Source organism: Homo sapiens, chromosome 5, assembly GCF_000001405.40.
Source record: "Homo sapiens chromosome 5, GRCh38.p14 Primary Assembly".
NCBI lineage: Eukaryota > Metazoa > Chordata > Mammalia > Primates > Hominidae > Homo > Homo sapiens.
Window position 1 is genome coordinate 132,568,789 of NC_000005.10, and position 23,748 is coordinate 132,592,536.

The 23,748-nt window shown below is 36.8% G+C and overlaps 1 protein-coding gene across 1 annotated transcript in view; it reads left to right on the top strand.

Annotated features, from left to right (window-relative positions):
* RAD50 (RAD50 double strand break repair protein) overlaps positions 1 to 23,748 on the top strand; it is an 89,373-nt gene that overhangs the window by 11,812 nt on the left and 53,813 nt on the right. The window contains exons 3-11 of the mRNA NM_005732.4: positions 6,989 to 7,140; positions 10,529 to 10,714; positions 11,074 to 11,278; positions 18,774 to 18,902; positions 19,136 to 19,301; positions 19,899 to 20,092; positions 20,843 to 21,049; positions 22,436 to 22,618; positions 23,089 to 23,246. Of these exons, the coding sequence (NP_005723.2) occupies positions 6,989 to 7,140; positions 10,529 to 10,714; positions 11,074 to 11,278; positions 18,774 to 18,902; positions 19,136 to 19,301; positions 19,899 to 20,092; positions 20,843 to 21,049; positions 22,436 to 22,618; positions 23,089 to 23,246 (1,580 nt within the window). The remainder of the gene's footprint in view (positions 1 to 6,988; positions 7,141 to 10,528; positions 10,715 to 11,073; positions 11,279 to 18,773; positions 18,903 to 19,135; positions 19,302 to 19,898; positions 20,093 to 20,842; positions 21,050 to 22,435; positions 22,619 to 23,088; positions 23,247 to 23,748) is intronic.

The following is a 23,748-nucleotide window of genomic DNA, read 5'->3' on the forward strand; positions in this document are numbered from 1 at the left end:
AGAGGTAATTTGTTACAGACAGGCTTGCACTATAGTAATTGTTAAAGAAAGTTTTTGAGGCTGAAGGAAAATGTCGAAAATGATTGTAAATTAGTCCTAGAGTAAAAGCTGCTCTAGGTCCCCCTTTACAGACCTTAACAACAAAGGTTCAAAAGAATCCAACTGTTTGTTGCTCAAAAAACTTAACTGCATGCCAGAACAAAGTTCAGTACTCATTAAAGGAATAAAACAAAATCTTTCACCCAACAATACAAAATTCACAATCAAAAGTTAACAGGCATCCAAAGAAGCAGGGAAATAGGACCCATAATCAGAGAAAAATCAATCATATGAACAGATCCAAAATGAAAGAAATAATAGAATTAGTAGATAAGAACCCTAAAACCTTATTATAACTCTTATAAATATGCTCATAGATATAAAGGAAAACATAAGCATAATGAGAAAAATGGAAAATAATTTTAAAAACCCAAATAAACGGAATAATGGTGTTTTGTATATAATGGTACAAATAGGTTAAAAGCAAAAGGATTGAAAAAATATACTGTGCCAGCTAATGAAAAGAAAGCTGAAGTGACCATATTAATACCAGACAGAAGACATCAGAACTAGGGAAAATGAAACATTTTATGATGAGAAGAGGTCAATTTAATGCAAGGACACAAAAATTCTAAATGTAAAACTTCCAAATATATGAGGCAGAAACCTATGGAACAGAATGGAGAAATACACAAATCTGCAAGGTCAATTGGAGATCTCAATACCCCTCTCAGTAGAGAAAAGAAGCAGATGAAATATCAGTAAGTATATGGAAAATTTTAACAACACTGTTAACCAAATCAACCTGATTGACATTTATAGGACATTCCATTGAACGATAGCAGAATACACTTTATTTTCAAGTGCATGTGGAACATTCTGTAAGATAGACCAACATTCTGGACTGTAAAACAAGTGTCAATAAATTTATAAGGAGTAAAGTCATAGATAATGTATTCTGTGACTACACCAGAATCAGTAGCAGAAAAGTATCCGGAAAATCCCCAAATAATTGAAAAATTAAGCAGCATACTTCTAAATATTACATGGATCAAAAAAGGAATCACAAGGGAAATTAGAAAAAATACTTTAAATGAATCAAAAATATAGCATGTAAAAATATGTGGGGTGCAGCTAGATAATGCTTAGAGAGATACGGTAGAAAAGAAACCAATCAGTATAATTTGCCACATTAACAGAATAAAAAAGAAATATCATATGAACACCAATAGATACAGAAAACGCATTTCAATTTAATAGTCTTTCGTGGTAAAAACCCTCAGCATAACTGATGGAGGAATATTAATTCCTGAATAATTCAGTCCAAAATCCGTTAGGTGTGGCTGAGTGAGGAAGGCATCCACAAAAACAAGCTGTGACAGCCTGGTGGGGGATTGGAGCCCAAGTAAGGAATCTATGAGTTTATACTGATACAAGAAAATGGGGGGGGAAATGGAGAAAGAGCAAAGCCCCTTATACTAGAACCTTAACTAATATAAAAGGAATAATGGAACTAGAAAATTACTATAGGCATACCTTAGATATTGCAGGTTAAGTTCTAATGGATGGCGGTCTTGTCTACATTGAAAATCTGTTGTTTAGTGTAGCTACCTTCATCAATTACCTGAGCTAGATCTTCTGGATAACTTGCTGCAGCTCCTGCATCAGCACTTGCTGCTTCACCTCGCACTTTTATGTTGTGGAGACAGCTTCTTTCTTTAAGCCTCATGAACCAACCATTGCTAGCTTCCAACTTTTCTTTGCAGCTTCTTTACTTCTCTCAGCCTTCATAGAATTGCAGAGAGTTGGGGCTTTGCTCTGGATTAGGTTTTGGCCTGAGGGAATGTTGTGGCTGGTTTAATCTATCCCAACTACTAAAACTTTCTCCATATCAGCAGTAAGGCTGTTTCACTTTCTTATCATTTGTGTGTTCACTAAAGTAGCACTTTTAATTTTATTCAAGAACTTTTCCTTTGCCCTCACAACTCAGCTAACTGATGAAAGAGGCCTAACTTTCAACCTGTTTTGGATTTTGACATGCTTTTCTCAACTAAGCTTAATCATTTCTAGTTTTTGATTTAAAACGAGATGTTTGACTCTTCTTTCGCTTAAACACTTAGGGGCTGTTGTAGGGTTACTAATTGGCCTAATTTCCATATTATTGTGTCTCAGGCAATCAGGTTCCAAGGAGAGGGAGAGAGACGGGAATGGCAGGTCAGTAAAGCAGTCAGGACACACACGTTAATGGATTAAGTTCACCTCTTATATGTGGATGGTTTGTGGCACACAAACAATTACAGTAGTAACATCAAAGATCACTTATCACAGATCACTATAACAGATACAATAATAATGAAAAAGTTTGAAATATTGTGAGAATTACCAAAATGTGACACAGAGACACAAAGTGAGCACATGCTGTTGGAAAAATGGCACCGATAGACTTGTTAGATGCAGGGTTGCCACAAACCTCTGAAGAGCACAATAAGATGGGGTATGCCTGTATTTGATAGCTGTCATAATAATAATTCATTCAGGTAAGAAACAGTAGATGCTAAAACTAATGGAAGAAAGTTTGATGAAGTATGAGATAGTTGTATGGTCTCTGCATCTCTCCCTCAAATTATTAATTAATTGTAAAGAAAAATTTTTTGGTGAAGCTAGGAGATACACCTTTATCAAGAGATTGAAGTTAGTCTAGGCAACATGGTGAAACCACATCTCTACAAAAACTACAAAAATTGGCGGGGTGTGGTGGCATGCACCTATAGTCCCAGCTACTTGGGGGGCTGAGGTAGGAGGATTGCTTATGACTCAGAGGTCGTGGATGCAGTGAGCTGTGTTCATGCCACTGCACTCCAGCCTGGATGACAAAGTGAGACCCTGTCTCAAAAAAATAAATAAAGGGATTGAAGTTAATACCCTCCGTAATGAGATAAATGGAAATGATGTCCTGTCTGATGAGATGCAGTAAAAGGAACTCATCATCGCTTGTATAATATTCTTGCCAAAGATACATAACCTGATTCTAGTCGTGAGGAAATATTACCCAAATTTTGGGAGGTATTCTGCAAAATAATGGTCTGTACTTTTCAAAATTATCAGTCATGAAAGTCAAGGAAAATCTGAGCAACTATTTCAGGCTGAAAGAAAGTAAAGAGACATAACCACCAAATACAAAGTGTAATTCTGAACTGAATCCTTTTGCTCTAAAGGACGTACTGGGACAAGTGAATTAGGCTGTAGAAAAAGAAAAAAACAATCAGTATAATTTGCCACAGTAATAGAATAAAGAAGAAAAATCATATGAGCATCAATAGATACAGAAAAAGCTTTTCAATTTAATACTCATTCATGATAAAAACTCTCAGCATAACTAATGGATGAATAGTTATTCATTCCTGATTAATTCAGTCCAAAAGCCATTAGGTAGGACTGAGTGAGGAAGGCATCCACAGAAGTACCCTAGGGATGAATAGATGATAGAATTAGTAGATAAGAACCTTAAAATCTTATTATAAATCTTATAACTATGTTCATAGATATAAATAAAAACATAAAAATAAAAACATGAGAAAAATGGAGGACAATAACCAAAAAACCCTAAATAAAGTAAAAGGAATAACAGTGTTTTTATATATAATAGTACAGATGGGTTTAAAACAAAAGGATGGAAAAAATATACCGTGCCAGCTAATGAAAAGAATGCTGAAGTGACCATATTAATATAAGACAGAAGACATCAGAAAAAATAGGTGATTATATGATATTTGAATGTCTGTTCATTGTTGGTCTTTTAGGTCTTATAAGATGATGGTCATTTTCTACTACTTTAAGGGAGCATATTAAATTTTTTTCAACAGACTTTAAACTTTATTTTGTAGATCAGCTTCGGGTTTATAGCAAAATTGAGCAGAAAGTACAGTTTCTGTATATTCCCTGCCTGTACACACACAACCTCCTCTACTATCAGCATCTAACTTTTTGTAGATACTTTGCCTCATTCAAATAATCCAGGGTAATCTTTCTATTTTAAAGTCAAGTGATTGACACCCCAGTTCCATCTGTAATGTTAATTCTCTTTTGCTGTGTAATGTAACATTCACAAATTCAAGGGATTAGAATGTGGACATCTTTGGAGAACCATTATTTTATATGCCACAGCTGAGTTAATGGTAACTTATCACATTTTGGAACAACTGGCAAAACTTGAATGGGATTTGTGGACCATGTGGTAATAATATATCAGTATCAGTTTCCTGATTTTTGTTGTTGAAAATGTCCTTGTTTTGTAGGAAATACTGGTGTTGGGACATCAGATCAGCAACTTACTCTCATGTGGTTTGGGGGGCAGGAAAGCTATGTATACTGTAGTTCTGTGTATTACTCCATTTTCACACTGCTGTTAAAGACATACCCAAGACTGGGCAATTTACAAAAGAAAGAGGTTTAATGGACTTACAGTTCCACGTGGCTGGGGAGGCCTCACAATCATGGTGGAAGGTGAAAGTCATGTCTCACATGGTGGCAAATGAGAGCTTGTGCAGGAAAATTCCCCCTTATAATGACCATCAGATCTCGTGAGACTTACTATCATGAGAACAGCACAGGAAAGACCTGCCCCCGTGATTCAATTATCTCCCACCTGGTTTCTCCCACAACACATGGGGATTCAAGATGAGATTTGAGTGGAGACACAGCCAAACCATATGATTCCACCCCTGGCCCCTCCCAAATCTCATGTCCTCACATTTCAAAACCAATCATGCCTTCCCAACAGTCCCCCAAAGTCTTATTTTAGCATTAATTCAGAAGTCCACAGTCCAGAGTCTTACCCAAGATAAGGCAAGTCCCTTCTGCCTATGCGCCTGTAAACTCAAAAGCAAGTTAGTTACTTCTTAGATACAATGGGGATACAGGCATTGGGCAAATACAGCCATTCCAAATGGGAGAAATTGGCCAAAACAAAGGGGCTACAGGCCCCGTGCAAGTCCGAAATTCAGTGGGGCAGGTGTATCTTAAAGCTCCAGAATGATCTCCTTTGACTCCATGTCTCACATCCAGGTCACTCTGATGCAAGAGGTGGGCTTCCATGGCCTTGGGCAGCTCCACTTCTGGCTTTGCAGGGTATAGCCTCCTTCCTGGCTGTTTTCACAGGCTGGTGTTGAGTGCCTGCAGTTTTTCCAGGTGCACAGTGCAAGCTGTCAGTGGATCTATTATTCTGGGGGATCTACCAGTCTGGAGGACAGTGGCTGTCTTCTCACAGCTCCACTAGGCAGTCCCCTCCATAGGAACTCTGTGGGGTTTCAACCCCACATTTCCCTTCCATATTGCCCTAGCAGAGGTTTTCCATAAGGGCCCCACCCCTGCAGCAAACATCTGCCTGGGCATCCAGGTGTTTCCATACACCCTCTGAAATCTAGGCAGAGGTTCCCAAACCTCATTTCTTGACTTCTGTGCACCTGCAGGCTCAACACCACGTGGAAGCTGCCAAGGCTTCGGGCTTCCACCCTTTGAAGCAACAGGCCAAGCTGTACCTTGGCTTCTTTTAGTTGTGGCTGGGACACAGGGCACCAAGTCCCTAGACCGCACACAGCAGAGGGACCCTGGGCCTGGCCCACGAAACTATTTTTTCTTCCTAAACCTCTGGGCTTGTGATGGGAGGGGCTGTCACAAAGGTCTCTGACATGCCCCTGGAGACATTTTCCTTATTGTCTTGGTAATTAACATTTGGTTCCTTGTTACTTATGCAAATTTCTGCAGCTGGCTTGAATTCCTCCTCAGAAAATGGGATTTTATTTTCTATCACATTGTCAAGCTGCAAATTTTCCAAACTTTTATGCTGTTTCCCTTTTAATACTGCATCCCTTTAACAGCACCCAAGTCACCGCTTGAATGCTTTACTGCTTAGAAATTTCTTTCACCAGATACCCTAAATCATCTCTCTCAAGTTCAAAGGTCCACACATTCCTAGGGCAGGGGCAAAATGCTGCCAGTTTCTTTGCTAAAATATAACAAAAGTCACCTTTGCCCCAGTTCCCAACAAGTTCCTTATCTCCATCTGAGACCACCTCAACCTGGATTTCATTGTCCATATCCTCATCAGCATTTTGGTCAATGCCATTCAACAAATCTCTAGGGAGTTCCAAACTTTCCCATATTTTCCTCTCTTCTGAGCCTTCTAAACTGTTCCATCCTCTGCCTGTTACCCAGTTCCAAAGTCGCTTTCACATTTTCGGATAACTTTTCAGCAGCACTCCACTCCTGGTACCAATTTACTGTATGAGTCCGTTTTCACACTGCTAATAAAGATATACCTGAGACTGGACAATTTACAAAAGAAAGGGTTTAATGGACTACAGTTCCACCTGGCTTGGGAGGCCTCACAATCATGGTGGAAGGTAAGGAGGCGCAAGTCACATCTTACATGGACAGCAACAGGCAAAGAGAGCTTGTGCGGGGAAACTCCTTCTTATAAAACCATCAGGTCTCGTGAGACTTACTCACTGTCACAAGAACAGCATGGGAAAGACCTGTCCCCATGATTCAATTACCTTCAACTGGGTACCTCCTGCAACATGTGGAAATTCAAGATGAGATTTGGGTGGAGACAAAGACAAACCAAATCATTCTACCTTTCTATAAACTTGCAATTTTTAAGGATAAAAAACATTTTTGATGCTTACAGAGATAAAATTCATTTATTTGAAAAATCTGCATACCTGATCTCCTAATGATGCTGAATAAAGGAGGTAGATAGTATATCATTTTTGTAAATTAATTAAACAGTATTCTTCTATATTTTGGATAGCATGTAAAAATATCACTCATTTTGGATGTTTTTCTTTTTGTTCCCTCATTTTGGGTAAGATTGCTTATGCCTTTTTCTCAGAACCAACACTGGTGCTTATTAAAGTAACATAAGTTTTTTCTGTGTTTTCCTTCAAAGGTTGCTCAAGAAACAGATGTGAGAGCCCAGATTCGTCTGCAATTTCGTGATGTCAATGGAGAACTTATAGCTGTGCAAAGATCTATGGTGTGTACTCAGAAAAGCAAAAAGACAGAATTTAAAACTCTGGAAGGAGTCATTACTAGAACAAAGTAGGTGTTTATATGATATTTGAATTTCTGTTCATTTTCAGTCTTTTAGGTCTGTAAGTTGATGGTTGTTTTCTACTATAAGTTTAGGGGAGCATATTAAATTTTTTTCAATAGACTTTAGACTTTATTTTTTTAGAGCAGTTTTGGGTTTATAGCAAAATTGGGCAGAAAGTACTGAGCTTCCATTTTCTCCCTACCCCCACGCACACACAGCCTCCTCCACTATGAACATTTGATTTTTTGTGGATACTATTTGTCAGTTAAATAGAATGATCCCATGAAAGACTTAGGGTTATGTTCCATTCTCTTGAGTAATTTCTGAACAGTTGCTGAATTGAAAGCACATAATCACTCAAATACAGGTTGAATGAGTAAAAAATTCTAGTGTCATGTTTAAGAATGGGTGAGATGAGAAGCAGACAAGTAGGAAAGAATGATAAATTGTTCCTTTCAACCATTATCATTCTGTTAGAGGCAGGTATCATTTTCTAATGGATATGGATTTGGGGATTAGACTACCTTAGATTCAAGTCTCTGTCTTTGTTGAGCAAATTACTTGACTATTCAGCTTCTTCTCCTCCCTTTTATTTAACTAGCTAAGTAATTCCTTTATTTAACCAATAATGCACATCTACTATGTGCTGGAGGCACTATACTGGCTTCTCAAGCAGGTTTTCATCATTGCCATTTTAACACACTCAAGTATCTCTCATACCCTGGGATTTCATTCCACTCCAGTTACTACCTGTCTCCTTCTTCTCCTTTATAGCCAGTCTCTCAAAAGAGTTGTTGATACTGTCTCCATTTCTTCACCTCCTCTTCACTCCAATTGCAGTCCCATTCGTCCTTTGAAACACCTCTGACTAAAGTTACTAATAACTCTGTTTTTAATTAGGGTAATGCTGCTGCTATACAAAGTAGACCTAAGAGTGAGCCTCTGTTTATTTCATTTGTAAAGTAGGCATTCATTTTCACTGTGTGTATCTTAGATGTTGTCAAGGTTGAGCTAATGCATATAAAATGCTTAACATGTAGTAAGAGTTCATGTATTAGTCTTCTATGACTGCTATAAGAAACCACAAACTTAGTGCTATAAACAATACAAATTTATTATCTTACACTTATGTAGTTTAGAAGTCTGAATTGGGTCTCACTGGGCTAAAATCAAGATGTTAGTAGGGTTACGTTCCTTTCTGGAGGCTCTAAGGGAGAATATGTTTCCTTGTTCTTTCCGTCTTTTAGAGGCCACCCATATTTTTTAGATCATGCCCTCTTACTCTGTCTTCAAAGCAAGCAATAGTGGGCAGAGTTCTTCTCATATCAAATCACTGTGACCTCTTCTTCTCTCTTCTTCTGCCTTCCTCTCTCACATTAAAGGACCCATGTGATTACATTTGCCCCATCCAAATAATCCAGGATAGTCTATTTTAAGGTCAAATGATTAACACCCTAATTCCATCTGTAATCTTAATTCTCTTTTGCTGTGCAATGTAACATTCACAAATTCAAGGGATTAAAATGTGGACATCTTGGAGGACCATTGTTCCATGTACCATAGCTAAGTAAATGCTAGTTTATTACTTTTTATTTGAAAATTTCTTTTTCTAGACCTCCATGATACAATACTGTTCTCTCTTTCTATCACAGCTACATACTACTTCATTCACCCCATCAATAAAGGTTGGAAGTCTCATTAGGCTCAGTCCTGTATCTTCTCCTTTTTTTTGCTCTGTATTTTCTTCCTAGGTAATCACATTCTTATCCATTGCTCAAACTACTCTGTGTTCATAGATGACTCACAGATTTATGTCATATCTCCAAACCAGACCTCTGTTTCCAGACCCATTTACCCAGACCTATTTACCCATTTCTGATTTTTTTTTTTTTTTTTTTTTTTTTTGAGATGGAGTCTTGCTCTGTCTGTCACCCAGGCTGGAGTGCAGTGGTGAAATCTCAGCTCACTGCAACCTCCGCCTCCCGGGTTTAAGCGATTCTCCTGCCTCAGCCTCCTGAGTAGCTGGGACTACAGGCGTGCACCACCATGCCTGGCTAATTTTTGTACTTTTAGTAGAGATGGGGTTTCACCATGTTAGCCAGAATGGTCTTGATCTCTTGACCTCGTGATCCGCCCACCTCAGCCTCCCAAAGTGCTGGGATTACAGGCGTGAGCCACCGCGCCCAGCCCCATCTCTGATTTTTTTTACCAGTTGTTTCAAAGACAACTTAGGTTCAACGTTTCCAAAACCAAACTCAGTCCTTTCTCTTTGACCTCCCCCCTTAAAAAACCTCCAACAACTTGGTCTTATGGTATACCTCACCTTGGTGAATGATACCACTATCCGTCCAGTGACAAAAGCCAAGAACCTAAGTCTTGATATGTCTTTGCCTTCCATATCCAGTCTATTACTGAGACCTATGAATTTAATCTAAATGTCTCTGGAATCTGTTTCCATCTCTACAACCACCATTCTAGTCCTAGTCCAAGCTACCATTGTCTTTCCATGACCTCATGTGATAACCTATTGATTTATCTGTGTCTATTCTAGCCCTCTGCAAAGCATTCTTAATATATTCAGTATAATATTTTTTTTCTTTCTTTTTTTTTTTTTTTTTTTTTTTTGAGACAGAGTTTCGCTCTTGTTTCCCAGGCTGGAGTGCAATGATGCAATCTCAGCTCACTGCAACCTCACCGAGTTCAAGTGATTCTCTTGCCTCAGCCTCCCAAGGAGCTGGGATTACAGGTGCCCACCACCACACCTGGCTAATTTTTTTGTATTTTTAATAGAGACAGGGTTTCACCATGTTAGTCTGGCTGGTCTCGAACTCCTGACCTCAGGTGATCCATTCACCTCGGCCTCCCAAATTGCTGGGATTACAGACATGAGCCACCGTGCCTGGCCCAGTGTAATATTTTCAAAATACAAATTGAAATGTATAAAAAACAGTAAAGACAGATATTGCCTCTGCTCACCAGAGCAGTCTGTTACTGAAGAAAGAACCCCATTCTAAGATGTTTTTAACTTACCTTTGCCTGTCTGCTATTGATCATCATGTTTTGTTTTATTCTTTGTCTCTTATTTTTAAGACAGTTAATGCTCTATATAGTATCTCTAAGTATTCTAAATTATTATATTTAAAAGTCCAAATATGTAAAAAATAAATTCTGGCTTCCTTTCCTGAACTACTTTGTTTTACATATCTTTTCATCTGTGAACCGTTAAATAGTTTAAGAGTTACACTTTTTAGCATGATGAAGCCATTTCTAACGGGATAGGTGAAGGGCCTTTTTTTTTATTCTTTTAAAGAAGTACAGTATGAATTGATTAAGCAATAGAATAGATACACTGAAGGTTATTTTACATATATTCTTGATTTTCATTTTCTGTAGGCATGGTGAAAAGGTCAGTCTGAGCTCTAAGTGTGCAGAAATTGACCGAGAAATGATCAGTTCTCTTGGGGTTTCCAAGGCTGTGCTAAATAATGTCATTTTCTGTCATCAAGAAGATTCTAATTGGCCTTTAAGTGAAGGAAAGGCTTTGAAGCAAAAGTTTGATGAGATTTTTTCAGCAACAAGGTTTGTAACCCTTAAATAGACTTTGTAGTCCATTAAGTTATTGAACTGTGTTTGCAATTTGGATGCTTCTTTTTAACAGAAAAAATTTAAAAAGCAGAAAGGTCATCAGTTACTACCTCTCATCCAGCAGCAACCATTGGGCATATTTTCTTTCACTTGTCTTTCTGTGCGTATATTTATTTACCTGATTGACAGTATAAATGTAATTTTTTTCACTTACCATTATGTCATAGGCATTTTACAAGTTATTAAAAACTCATTGTAACTGTAATCTTAGTGACAGCATAATATCCCACTGTATGAATATATACCATAATTTACTTTGCCAGAAATTTGATTTTTGTTTCATATCTTCAAAGATACATTAAAGCCTTAGAAACACTTCGGCAGGTACGTCAGACACAAGGTCAGAAAGTAAAAGAATATCAAATGGAACTAAAATATCTGAAGCAATATAAGGAAAAAGCTTGTGAGATTCGTGATCAGATTACAAGTAAGGAAGCCCAGTTAACATCTTCAAAGGAAATTGTCAAATCCTATGAGAATGAACTTGATCCATTGAAGGTAACTTGATTTTATTTTTAATTGACAAAAATTGTATATCTTTATGGTATACAGCATGATGTTTTGATATAAGTATACATCGTGGACTGGCTAAATCAAGCTATTTAACGTTCATTACTTCAATTTTTTTATGGTGAGAACACTTAAAATCTACTCTCTTAGCAATTATATATTGTTATTAACTAAAGTCACAGTGATGTACAGTAGTTAATTTCTTGTATACTAAATAGGTAGTCCTTTTTTTGCTATAGTAGCATTCTCCCCTTATTTGTATATGAAACTGAATGGCTTGTATATTTCTTGAATTATCAGGGAGCTAATGTTTTAGGTCTATGTTAGTCTTTAAATTGCTGAAAGAGCTTGGATTTGAAAGAAAACAAATTTGTAGCATCACACTAAATTAGTAGTATAGATCACTAGGTGTTAAATAGCAATATCATTACCCAACCTTACAGTTCTGTATTAATATTTTTAAAAATTGACATCTTTCTAGAGAATTTTTAAAATTTGCAGAAAGTTTTTGAAGCATTCAAAAATTGCACAGAATTTGGAATTGATCCATAACATGTTCATATATTTGCAAATGAGTATACCTTCCTCAACCCGGTGATTTATAAGAAAGGCCTACAGGAAATTCCATTCATTCATTTAATAAGCATTTATTGGGTGTCTTCTTTGTACCAGGGTATACTGTGCTTGGGTACAAAGAGGACTACAACTGCACCCCTGTCCTTAAGGTATTCCTAGTCTAAATAAGAGCATTCTTAAAAATGGCTATTTGCTATGTTTTAGATAGTAGATTTTTTAAAGTCATTAAAAAATTTATTGATTTGGTTTTTAAAAAACTCACCTGTAAATACCAGTATAGATCTTTGAATCATGAAGTAGAAAATATATATATATTTTTAATGATGGCCATGCATAGAAATATATTGCAAGGGCTTCTGGGAGGAGGTAGGGCTGAGGTGGGCCTTGAAGAATGGGAAGAAATCAAGTCAGCAAACTAGAAGACATTTTATACATGTTTGTATTTATTTATTTATTTATTTTTGAGATGGAGTTTCACTTTTGTTGCCCAGGCTGGAGTGCAGTGGCACGATCTCGGCTCACTGCAACCTCTGCCTCCCGGGTTCAAGCAATTCTCCCACTTAGCCTCCAGGGTAGCTGGGATTACAGGCATGAGCCACCACGCCCGGCTAAATAAAAAAAAAAAATAGAATTTTTTGTATTTTTAGTAGAGACGGGGTTTCTCCATGTTGGTCAGGCTGGTCGCGAACTCCCGACCTCAAGTGATCTGCCCGCCTCGGCCTCCCAAAGTGCAGGGATTACAGGCGTGAGCCACCGCACCTGGAAATGTTTGTATTTATTTTGACTTTTCTTTTAAAAGTAATATGTGCCCCTAGTAAAAAAGTTATAAAAGGATATTAGGTGAAAAGTAAAAGATAGTCTTCCATTTCTCATCTCTAACCTTCCAGAGTATATTTTACCTGCAACTTTTTTTAACTGCATATATACAATACATATGTATATACAAACATTCACTTGTATGTATGTGCATATTTACCTTTACAAGCTTAATCAGAACAGGATTATGAGAGGAAGAGTCTGGGTTAAGTAAATCAATATAAAAGGAGTAAATGACCAATATGAATCGGGGTCAGATTATAGAAAGCTAATGGATTTCAGACTTAGTTCAATAGACAGAAGAGTGGAAGACTATGTTATATTTTAGGATGAGTTGTCCTGATAACTCTGTGTGGGTCCCGTGGTAATTACCAAGATATTAGAACAGATTTCCTTTTTTTTTCTTCTTTCCCCCTTGCCCCACTCCACGTTTTATTTTCTTGAGGAGCATCTTGGTTGGAGAGATGACAAGCACATGTAATGGTAAGGCAGAGAAAAAAACAAGACCTGTAGGAGCTCTGAGGATAAAGAAAGAGAATTTCTATCTGAGGTAGCCAGAGAGGATTTCATAGGACTGAATTTGGCCATGACTTTTTTGATCATAAATGAGTAAGTCATTGGAGACATAGAGACAGTAAAATCCAAGCTGTCTTTGAACACTGTCAAGGAAATCCATATTGTTGAAATGAAGCATTTATATTGGAAATGATGTCAAGGTAGGGCTAAATGATAATACCTAGGATTTAGTGAGTGGTGCCAAGATTCTAACCAAGGCTGTAGCAGAGGTTGAGGTATTTATTTACTTGTTTGTGTTTAATTGTGAGTAATTCTCCAAGGGTTTAATATTCTTCTCTGTATCCTCAGAGCCTAGCCTAGTGCCTGGCACATAGCAGGTGGTTCAATAAATGTTTATTAAGTAGATGACTTCCAAAGTCCTTTTTTTTAGCTCTGACATGTGAAGATTCTTCCCTTCATAGAACCCAATTAAAGTTTGGGTCAAATCACCTTCCCAGAAAAGACTACGTCCTTTCAACCATGCACTAGAATGCATCCTTTCCCATTTTTACTGATTCCCTTTATCTTCGGGAACTCTCACTCTCTCATAAACTACTTTATTACCATCCCACCATATCCTGTCCTCTTTTTTTGGCCTACTTAGATCTGTTTTCCTTTCTTGCCTTAAATGGGAATTGCTAGAGGAATATGTTTCTAACTTTTTTTTTCTGCACACAAGTTCATGGTCCTTCTATACTTGATAGCCCAGCTGCTCTATTTTTTTTATCTCATTTCACACTGGCACCTAAGCTTTAAACCCTTGGCTGTTTTTGTTATTGTTGTCTGCCTGCTTGTCCTAGCTCCTTTTACTAGGTGTGTACTCTGGGGATAGAACCTATGTTTTGTGCTCTGAGATTAGAACCAAAACACAGATGTCAAAGAAGGAATTCAGGGGATCTGGTGACTGGCTGGATTTAAGGAATGAAGCAGGTAGAGATGTCATGAAAGATCCAAGCCCAGATGATTATCATAATGTTTGTGCTACCAAGAGGCAGTGAAAACACTGATGGAAAGAAACTGAGCACTTTGTAGAGTATCATAGTAGAGCTGTTAGTATTCATTGCTCTTAAGTATCCATCCAGTTATATTTGTTAGACTCTACTCAAAAGGTATTTTCTGAGTACAGAATTTTTTTCACAAGTGGTGCAAATGGTCTCATTAATTGAATGTTTACTGCCTAACACTAACCCGAGTGCTTTAAAATGTATAATGTAAACTCCATAGTAACTGTGAGGTTGTATAGGCAGGAAAACTGAGGTACAGGTATTCACAGTGGAAATAAGGGTTAAAGGTAGGATTTGAGTCCTCTGATTCCTAAGTTTATACCTTTTTTTCTTTTTAAGTCAAGTTTATTAAGGTATAATATATATATGGTAAAATCCACCCTTTTTAGAGTATAAATTCTATGAGTTAGGACATATGCATACAGTAGCATAACCATCACTAAAATGAAGATGTAGAATATTTCAGTCACTCCAAAAAGTTCTCTCAAAGTCCTTGCAGTCAGTCCTCTCCCCTGCTCCCATCCATAGTAACCACTAATTTGTTTTCTGTCATTATAGTTTTGCCTTTTCCAGAGAGTGGCACATATATAGAATCATACAGTATGCAGACTTTTGTGTCTGGGATTTATCTATGTTGCTGCATGTGTGAGTAATTCATTCCTTTTTTTTTTTTTTTTTTTTGAGACGGAGTTTCACTCTTATTGCCCAGGCTGGAGTGCAATGGCATGATCTCGGCTCACTGCAACCTCCGTCTCCCAGGTTCAAGCAATTCTCCTACCTCAGCCTCCCAAGTAGCTGGGATTACAGGCATGTGCCACCATACCCAGCTAATTTTTTTTGTATTTTTAGTAGAGACGGGGTTTCTCCATGTTGGTCAGGCTGGTCTCGAACTCCCAACCTCAGATGATCTGCCCACCTCGGCCTCCCAAAGTGCTGGGATTACAGGTGTGAGCCACTGTGCCCGGCAATTCATTCCTTTTTATTGTGGAGGAGCATTCCTTCCATTGTATGCATGTATTATAATTTTTTTCCTCATCCATTCTGTGGCTGATGGACATTAAGTTGTTTTTGGTTGAACTAGTTTACAGTCCCTCCAACAGTGTAAAAGTGTTCCTCTTTCTCCACATCCTCTCCAGCACCTGTTGTTTCCTGATTTTTATTGATCGCCATTCTAACTGGTGTGAGATGATATCTCATTGTGGTTTTGATTTGCATTTCTCTGATGGCCAGTGATGATGAGCATTTTTTCATGTGTCTGTTGTCTGCATAAATCTCTTCTTTTGAGAAGTGTCTGTTCATATCCTTCACCCACTTTTTGATGGGGTTGTTTGTTTTTTTCTTGTAAATTTGTTTGAGTTCTTTGTAGATTCTGGATATTAGCCCTTTGTCAGATGAGTTGATTGCAAAAATGTTCTCCCATTCTGTAGGTTGCTTGTTCACTCTGATGGTAGTTTCTTTTGCTGTGCAGAAGCTCTTTAGTTTAATTAGAACCCATTTGTCAGTGTGGCGATTCCTCAAGGATCTAGAAATAGAAATACCATTTGACCCAGCCATCCCATTACTGGGTATATACCCAAAGGATTATAAATCATGCTGCTATAAAGACACATGCACATGTATGTTTATTGCAGCACTACTCACAATAGCAAAGACTTAGAACCAACCCAAATGTCCAATGATGATAGACTGGATTAAGAAAATATGGCACATATACACCATGGAATACTATGCAGCCATAAAAAATGATGAGTTCATGTCCTTTGTAGGGACATGGATGAAGCTGGAAACCATCATTCTCAGCAAACTACCGCAAGAACAAAAAACCAAACACCGCATGTTCTCACTCATAGGTGGGAATTGAACAATGAGAACACTTGGACAGACACAGGAAGGGGAACATCACACACTGGGTCCTGTTGTGGGGTGGGGGGAGGGAGGAGGGATAGCATTAGGAGATACACCTAATGTAAATGACGAGTTAATGGGTGCAGCACACCAACATGGCACATGTATACATATGTAACAAACCTGCATGTTGTGCACATGTACCCTCGAACTTAAAGTATAATAAAAAGAAATAAGTTGTTTTCGGCTTTGGGTTGTTACAGATAAAACTGCTATAAACTTCTGTATACAGGTCTTTGGATAACTTTAGGACTCGGGTTGCTAGGTCGTGTGGTAAATATATGTTTAACCTTATAAGTTACCAGATGGCTGTACCATCTGGTACCACTTCATAGTCCTACCAACAATATACCAACAATTTATGGGAATGTAATTGCTCTGCATTCTCATCCCCACTTAGTACTGTCAGTCTTTTTCATTTTAGCCATAACAGTAGGGGTGTGGTAGTGTCTCATTGTGACATTGTGAGGTTGTATTTCTTTATATTTTTAATTTGTGTTTTCCTAGTTGATCAGTCAATTGATTATTGATTTTGAGCATCTTTTCATGTATTTATTTGCCACCTGAATATCTTCGTTAGTAAAATATAAAAGTCTTTTGCCTATTTTTCAATGTTATTTATTTATTGGTCATTTTATTATTGAGCTGTGAGAGTTCTTTTTTTTTTTTTTTTTTTTCTTGTTTTTTGAGACAGGGTCTCGCTGTCTTACCCAGGCCAGAGTGCAGTGGTGTGATCTTGGCTCACTGCAACCTCTGACTCCCAGGCTCAAGTGATCCTTCCACCTCAGTCTCCCACGTAGCTGGGACTACAGGCACACACTCACCACACCGGTGAGACTTGTAGAGGCAAGGTCTCACCAGGTTACCCAGGCTGGTCTCAAACTTCTGGGCTCAAGCAATCAGCCTGCCTCAGTCTCCCAAAGTGCTGGGATTACAGGTGTGAGCTACAGTGCCAGGCAGAGAGTTCTAAATATGTTCTGGATACAAGCCCTTTATCAGATATTGGTTTTGCAGATATTTCTTAACTGCTTTTCAGAGGACAGGAGTTTTAAATTTTGATCAGGTACAGTTTATAAACTTTTTTCTCTTATGGTTTATACTTTTTGTTTATTATTTAGGAAGTCTTTGACCCAGTGTCACAAAAATATTCTTCAGTGTTTTCCTCTAAAAGTTTTATAGTTTGAGTTCTTACAATTAAGTATATGCTTCATTTCAGAATCTTAATATGATATGAGGTAAAAGTTGAGGTTTACTTTCTTACATACAAATGTCCACTTCTTCTAGCACCCAGAGCCTAGTCATTATGATACCCTGCCTTCTAATCTTATTGTTATCTTGTCTCCCAATCTTAACTATACAATTTTGTACAAGTCAGTTAAGTCCTTTGAATTTCCTGCTTAGTATATACTTTTGTGAGGATTAGAGAGAATTTATAGCAGCACCTAGTACAGTGTCTGGAACATAGCAGACATTCAATCAGTGATACCTGTGACTGTTGCTCTTGGTAAAATTATTTTTTTCAAATCTCTCTTTCGTTTAGCTAACATTGAACACCTATTGCATGTTCTGGGGATACATTAGGGAACAAAGTAAACAAAGTTTCTGTTTTTAGGTTCATTTGTATATGAACGTTTACGTTCATATACAAATCACAAGCTATACTATTAGTATAATTTTAATAAATTATGTTAAAGTCGAGGATGCATTTTGGTGCAATTATGAAAGCTTGCAATTGCTGTCTAAGCATTCCAATAACTTCATATGTTAGTTTAAAATTAGGTTCTGCTGGGCATGGTGGTACATACTTATAGTCTCAGCTACTTGGAGGCTGAGGTGGGAGGAACACTTGAGCCCAGGAGTTCAAGTTGTATTGCACTGTTATTGCACCTGTGAATAGCCACTCCAGCCAGGGCAACATAGCAAGACCTTGTCTCTGCATTTGAAATAATAATAATAAAAGTAGGTTGTAAAAATGTCTTAGAAGAAGAGTTGGTCAGTTTTGGAATCATAGAGGCAAACACTAGAAGAATATCCCCAGCATCATCCAATAAGAGAATGCCCCGAACCAGATCCCAGTATTCCTGGGAGATGAGGCAACCAGCTGTCTCTGGAAGCGAGCCTCAGAGCAGGCCACTGAGCTCCCTTGTTGTACTTTACTTGCTCAGAGTCCTCTGTGGTTGAGCAAGCTTTGGATTAAAGTATACTCTTCATGTAAATTTGCCTATAGGCTCAGAATGCATTGGTAACTCACCATGAATTTCTAGCCTTCTCAGTAGTCCTGACTTAAAAAAATACATTAAATAGTTACCTTTTTAAGGATTAAGTAACTCTAAATGCCCAATGAATGAATAATGACTTTTGTGGCAGGTGTTGAGGACAGGACATGGTGTTTGGAGTTAGAAGTGGAATTTAATTCCTGCTTCTCTCTACTAGCTGTGAGGACTTGGGCCAAGTTACTTAATGTCTCTGAACTTCAGTTTCTCTAGGCCTGCTCTACAGTGTTATTGTTAGCCTTAAATGAGATCACTTTTACTAAATGCCTGGACCTGGAGTATCTTACTTGTCTTCATCTATCAGCCATGTAAGCTATAGTGAGTTTTATTTATGTAATGTTTCTTTATTTTCAGAATCGTCTAAAAGAAATTGAACATAATCTCTCTAAAATAATGAAACTTGACAATGAAATTAAAGCCTTGGATAGCCGAAAGAAGCAAATGGAGAAAGATAATAGTGAACTGGAAGAGAAAATGGAAAAGGTTTGTGGTGGTAGAATTTTGTTCTGCTTCAAAATTTTGGGATTATTGTAATGAACTTTATTTGAATCCATTTTGCCATCCACATTGGAAAAAAACAAATACAGATCTTGTTACTTCTATGTATATGTTAAAATGAAGGATATTGAATAAGGTTTGGTTTATATTTGATACCTCAAAGTGATCATATTTTCTTATGTTTGTACATTAAAGCTTTTTATTTTGGTGTTACACAGGTTTTTCAAGGGACTGATGAGCAACTAAATGACTTATATCACAATCACCAGAGAACAGTAAGGGAGAAAGAAAGGAAATTGGTAGACTGTCATCGTGAACTGGAAAAACTAAATAAAGAATCTAGGCTTCTCAATCAGGAAAAATCAGAACTGCTTGTTGAACAGGGTAGGACAAAATGTTTATTTGGTCGTTTTTCCTACTATGATGTTATACATTTTCTGTATGAATGAAGAATCTCCAAGGACTTATGCTGAGTGAAAAGCCAATCTTAAAAGGCTATACACAGTATGTTTCCATTTATATAACATTTTTATAATGTCAAAATTTTAGAAATAGTGGAGAAATTAGTGGTTGCCAGGGATACTGGGTAAGAGAAAGGACAGGAGGGAGCTAGGTATGGTTATGATTAGAACAAAAAGAGAGTCCTTGTAGTATTGGAACTGTTCAGTATCTTGACTGCCATAGTGGATATATGAACCGACACAGGTGATAAAATTATATAGAACTTAATATACACACATCCACATGCTCAGGGGTACAAATAAAATTGGGGAAATTTGAATAAGATTGATGAATTATATCAATATCAGTATTCTGGTTGTGATATTTTACTGCAGTTTTGCAAAATGTTATCATTGGGAGAAACTGGGCAAAATGTACAAGAGACACACTGCATTATTTTTTATAACTCGTGAATCTGCAGCTATCTCAACTTTTTAAGCACCAGTTGAAAAAAAAATTATGAGATTTTTTTTTTAAAAGGTCGTCTACAGCTGCAAGCAGATCGCCATCAAGAACATATCCGAGCTAGAGATTCATTAATTCAGTCTTTGGCAACACAGCTAGAATTGGATGGCTTTGAGCGTGGACCATTCAGTGAAAGACAGATTAAAAATTTTCACAAACTTGTGAGAGAGAGACAAGAAGGGGAAGCAAAAACTGCCAACCAACTGATGGCAAGTATTTTGAAATACAGTATTTGTTATTTTGTTTGCATCATATTCTCTACTTGAATTGTTTTAATTTTTGGTTGGACTCCATTTTGGCATATTTTTCTATTAGTGTTAGGATAAAATCTGCTACAAGGCAGAAAAACCTTTATTGAAGCAAATGTTCTTAAGTGTATAAAGATAAAAATATGAAGAAAATGTAAACCTACATTTTTTATTTGGTTTTAAGTAAAAATTTTTAAAAACTAATTGCAGAGAAAACATTTGCTCACAGTTAATGATTATCTCTGGGTAATGGTTTTGATTGTTTTTAAAATACAGTCTTGAACCACATGTTTTGGTCAGTGATAGACCACATATTTGACATTGGTCCCATAAAATTATAATACTGTATTTTACTGTATGTTTTCTGTGTTTAGATATGTTTAGATACATAAATACTTATCATCATGTTACAGTTGCCAAAGTATTCAGTACAGTAATATGCTGTATAGGTTTGTAGCCCATAAACAATAGGCTATACCATATAGTCTATGTGTGTATTAAACTATACCATGTAGGCTTATGTAAATACATTCTGATGTTCACACAATGATAAAATTGCCTAATGATGCATTTCTTGGAATATATCCCTGCTGAGCAACACACGACTGTACTTTTTTGTATTTTCTTCAGTGTACATATATTCCTTTTGCAATTAAAAAACTTAAATTGTTTAGTAAATTATTAATGCTCATTCTTTACATATGCATTTAGAATGACTTTGCAGAAAAAGAGACTCTGAAACAAAAACAGATAGATGAGATAAGAGATAAGAAAACTGGACTGGGAAGAATAATTGAGTTAAAATCAGAAATCCTAAGTAAGAAGCAGAATGAGCTGAAAAATGTGAAGTATGAATTACAGCAGTTGGAAGGATCTTCAGACAGGATTCTTGAACTGGACCAGGAGCTCATAAAAGCTGTAAGATATTGTTTGAATAATCTAATAATTTTAAGATATAATACTTTTAGAAGTATTTTGTCTATTTTTGATCCTAAGATTATAGCATTTTAATAAAAACATCAACTTTGTCTTATTCTCATGTAAAATGAATTCATCTGAATATCTTGATCTTCTGACTCTTTGGTTCTACAACCCGATAGCCTGAAAATTAGAATCACATAGGGAGCTTTTTAAAGATACTGTACTCAGACCTTAAAGCTTCAGACCTTCCAAATCAAAATCTCTGAGAATGGGGCATAGAAATGTACATTCAAAACACAACAAAACTGGCTAATTCTTATGAGCACCTTGATTAAGAACACTTACCAGGCCGGGTGCGGTGTCTCACACCTGTAATCCCAGCACTTTGGGAAGCCAAGGCAGGCAGATAACGTGAGGTCAGGAGTTCAAGACCTGTCCAGCCAACATGGTGAAACCCCGTCTCTACTAAAAATACAAAAATTAGCTGGGCGTGGTGGCGTGTGCCTGTAATCCCAGCTACTTGGGAGGCCAGGGCAGGAGAATCGCTTGAACCTGGGAGGCAGAGGTTGCAGTGAGCCAAGATTGCGCCACTGCTCTCCAGCCTGGGTGACAGAGTGGGACTCCATCTCAAAAAAAAGAAAAAGAACACTTGCCAAAGTTTTAAAAAAGCAAGTATTTTTCCTCTAGGTCACACACGTTGTAATTCTAGATGATTTTTGCTGTATTATTACTTTTTCTGTGTTAAAAACTTTCTTAGCCAATCTTTTCAGGTATTTCCATATTTTCTTTCTTGCTTCTAGTCTGTCCTCCTTCTTCACATCTCCATTACCAAAGTAAGCATTCTAAAGCATGGCAAACTTCTTAAAGCCCATCTTGATAATTTATGTAAACATTTATTTTTGCTCCATAACTCACCATTGTAGCATACATTTTTGTCAGTTTAGCACTTCATCAGTGTTGTCTTGTTGGGGTGGGGAGATACTTGGTCAGGGACCACATCACACTATTTTTATAGTTTCTACATACCAGGCAATATAGTGAATTACATGGGGACATAATAAATATTTAATTGTTGACTGAGGACTCACTAATCTGTGTACTTAGACACATGTCTCCTAATTTTACAGTAATTCTCACATTTCTTTCCTGTTTGACCCTTCTAGGTTTATTTACTAATTCTCTACCATTATAACATAGTAAGGTCACTTTAATAAGATATACCTTAGAGCATATATAGTGCCTTATGTTTTTTTCTCTTGTTGGATGCAAACAGTAATATTTGGAACATTCTGAGGAGTAGTTAATTTCTAATACACTTTGTCATTATTTTAATTCTTGCACAAAATATATAACACCTTTGCATTTGTATGAATTATTGACTAGGAACGTGAGTTAAGCAAGGCTGAGAAAAACAGCAATGTAGAAACCTTAAAAATGGAAGTAATAAGTCTCCAAAATGAAAAAGCAGACTTAGACAGGACCCTGCGTAAACTTGACCAGGAGATGGAGCAGTTAAACCATCATACAACAACACGTACCCAAATGGAGATGCTGACCAAAGACAAAGTATGATTTTTCTTTTTGTTCTAATTATACTGTCTGGTACTTAAAATAGCCTACCTTGCACTCATAAGTCATAGACTATAAGGTATTAAGTTGGTATTGACTATATTTTAGAGGCTAAGTGAGCTTAGTACTCTATATAATAGACTTTCAAGCTTAAAAGTTATTGTTTAATTACAAAAAGTTAATACAGAAATGTATATATATGTATATACACACATGCACATTACTGTTAACTTTTAACATACACAAATTTTAAAATTTTATATTGTTCGACTTGGTACTCCACTCTTAAGGCTTAGAAAGACCATCCCCACTTGAAGACTTTAAGAACTTTAAGAAATTTTATATTTTATTTTCATATTTTTATAGTTTTAAGCTTAGAACTTTAGTCAGTCTAGAATTTATTTTTGTTCTTGATATAATGTGGAGATATAGACTTTATTTTTAAAAGATTTTTTTTTTACCTATAGGCTGACAAAGATGAACAAATCAGAAAAATAAAATCTAGGCACAGTGATGAATTAACCTCACTGTTGGGATATTTTCCCAACAAAAAACAGCTTGAAGACTGGCTACATAGTAAATCAAAAGAAATTAATCAGACCAGGGACAGACTTGCCAAATTGAAGTAAGTTGCAACATTTGGAGATGTAATAGAAATCTCTTATTTCATGCTTACCTGTTTAATTGTTTTAAAATAATTTATTGTCATGAAATGGTATGTTATATTGATAAACTTTAGTTCTTACATACAAGGAGACTTCAGAAAGTTCATGGAAAAATGGAATTAAAAGATAAAAATTTTAAATAAACTGTATTTCTCAACATAAGCTCCATCAAGTTCAAGACTCTTCTGAGCAGTGATACCAGCAATTTAGTTCAGTCCTAAAGAACTGAGGGTCCTGGGAATTTAACCATGTCAGTGTAGTCTTTTTTACATTGCTAGCATAAAAATGGGTGCCCTTTAAAGATTTTTTTAAGATTAAGAAACTAGAAGACAGGAGGAGCCAAATCAGGACTGTAAGGTGGATGCCTAATGATTTCCCATCGAAACTCTTGCAAATGGCCCTTGTTTGATGAGAGGAATGAGCAGGAACATTGTTGTGGTGGAAAAGGACTCTCTGGTGAAG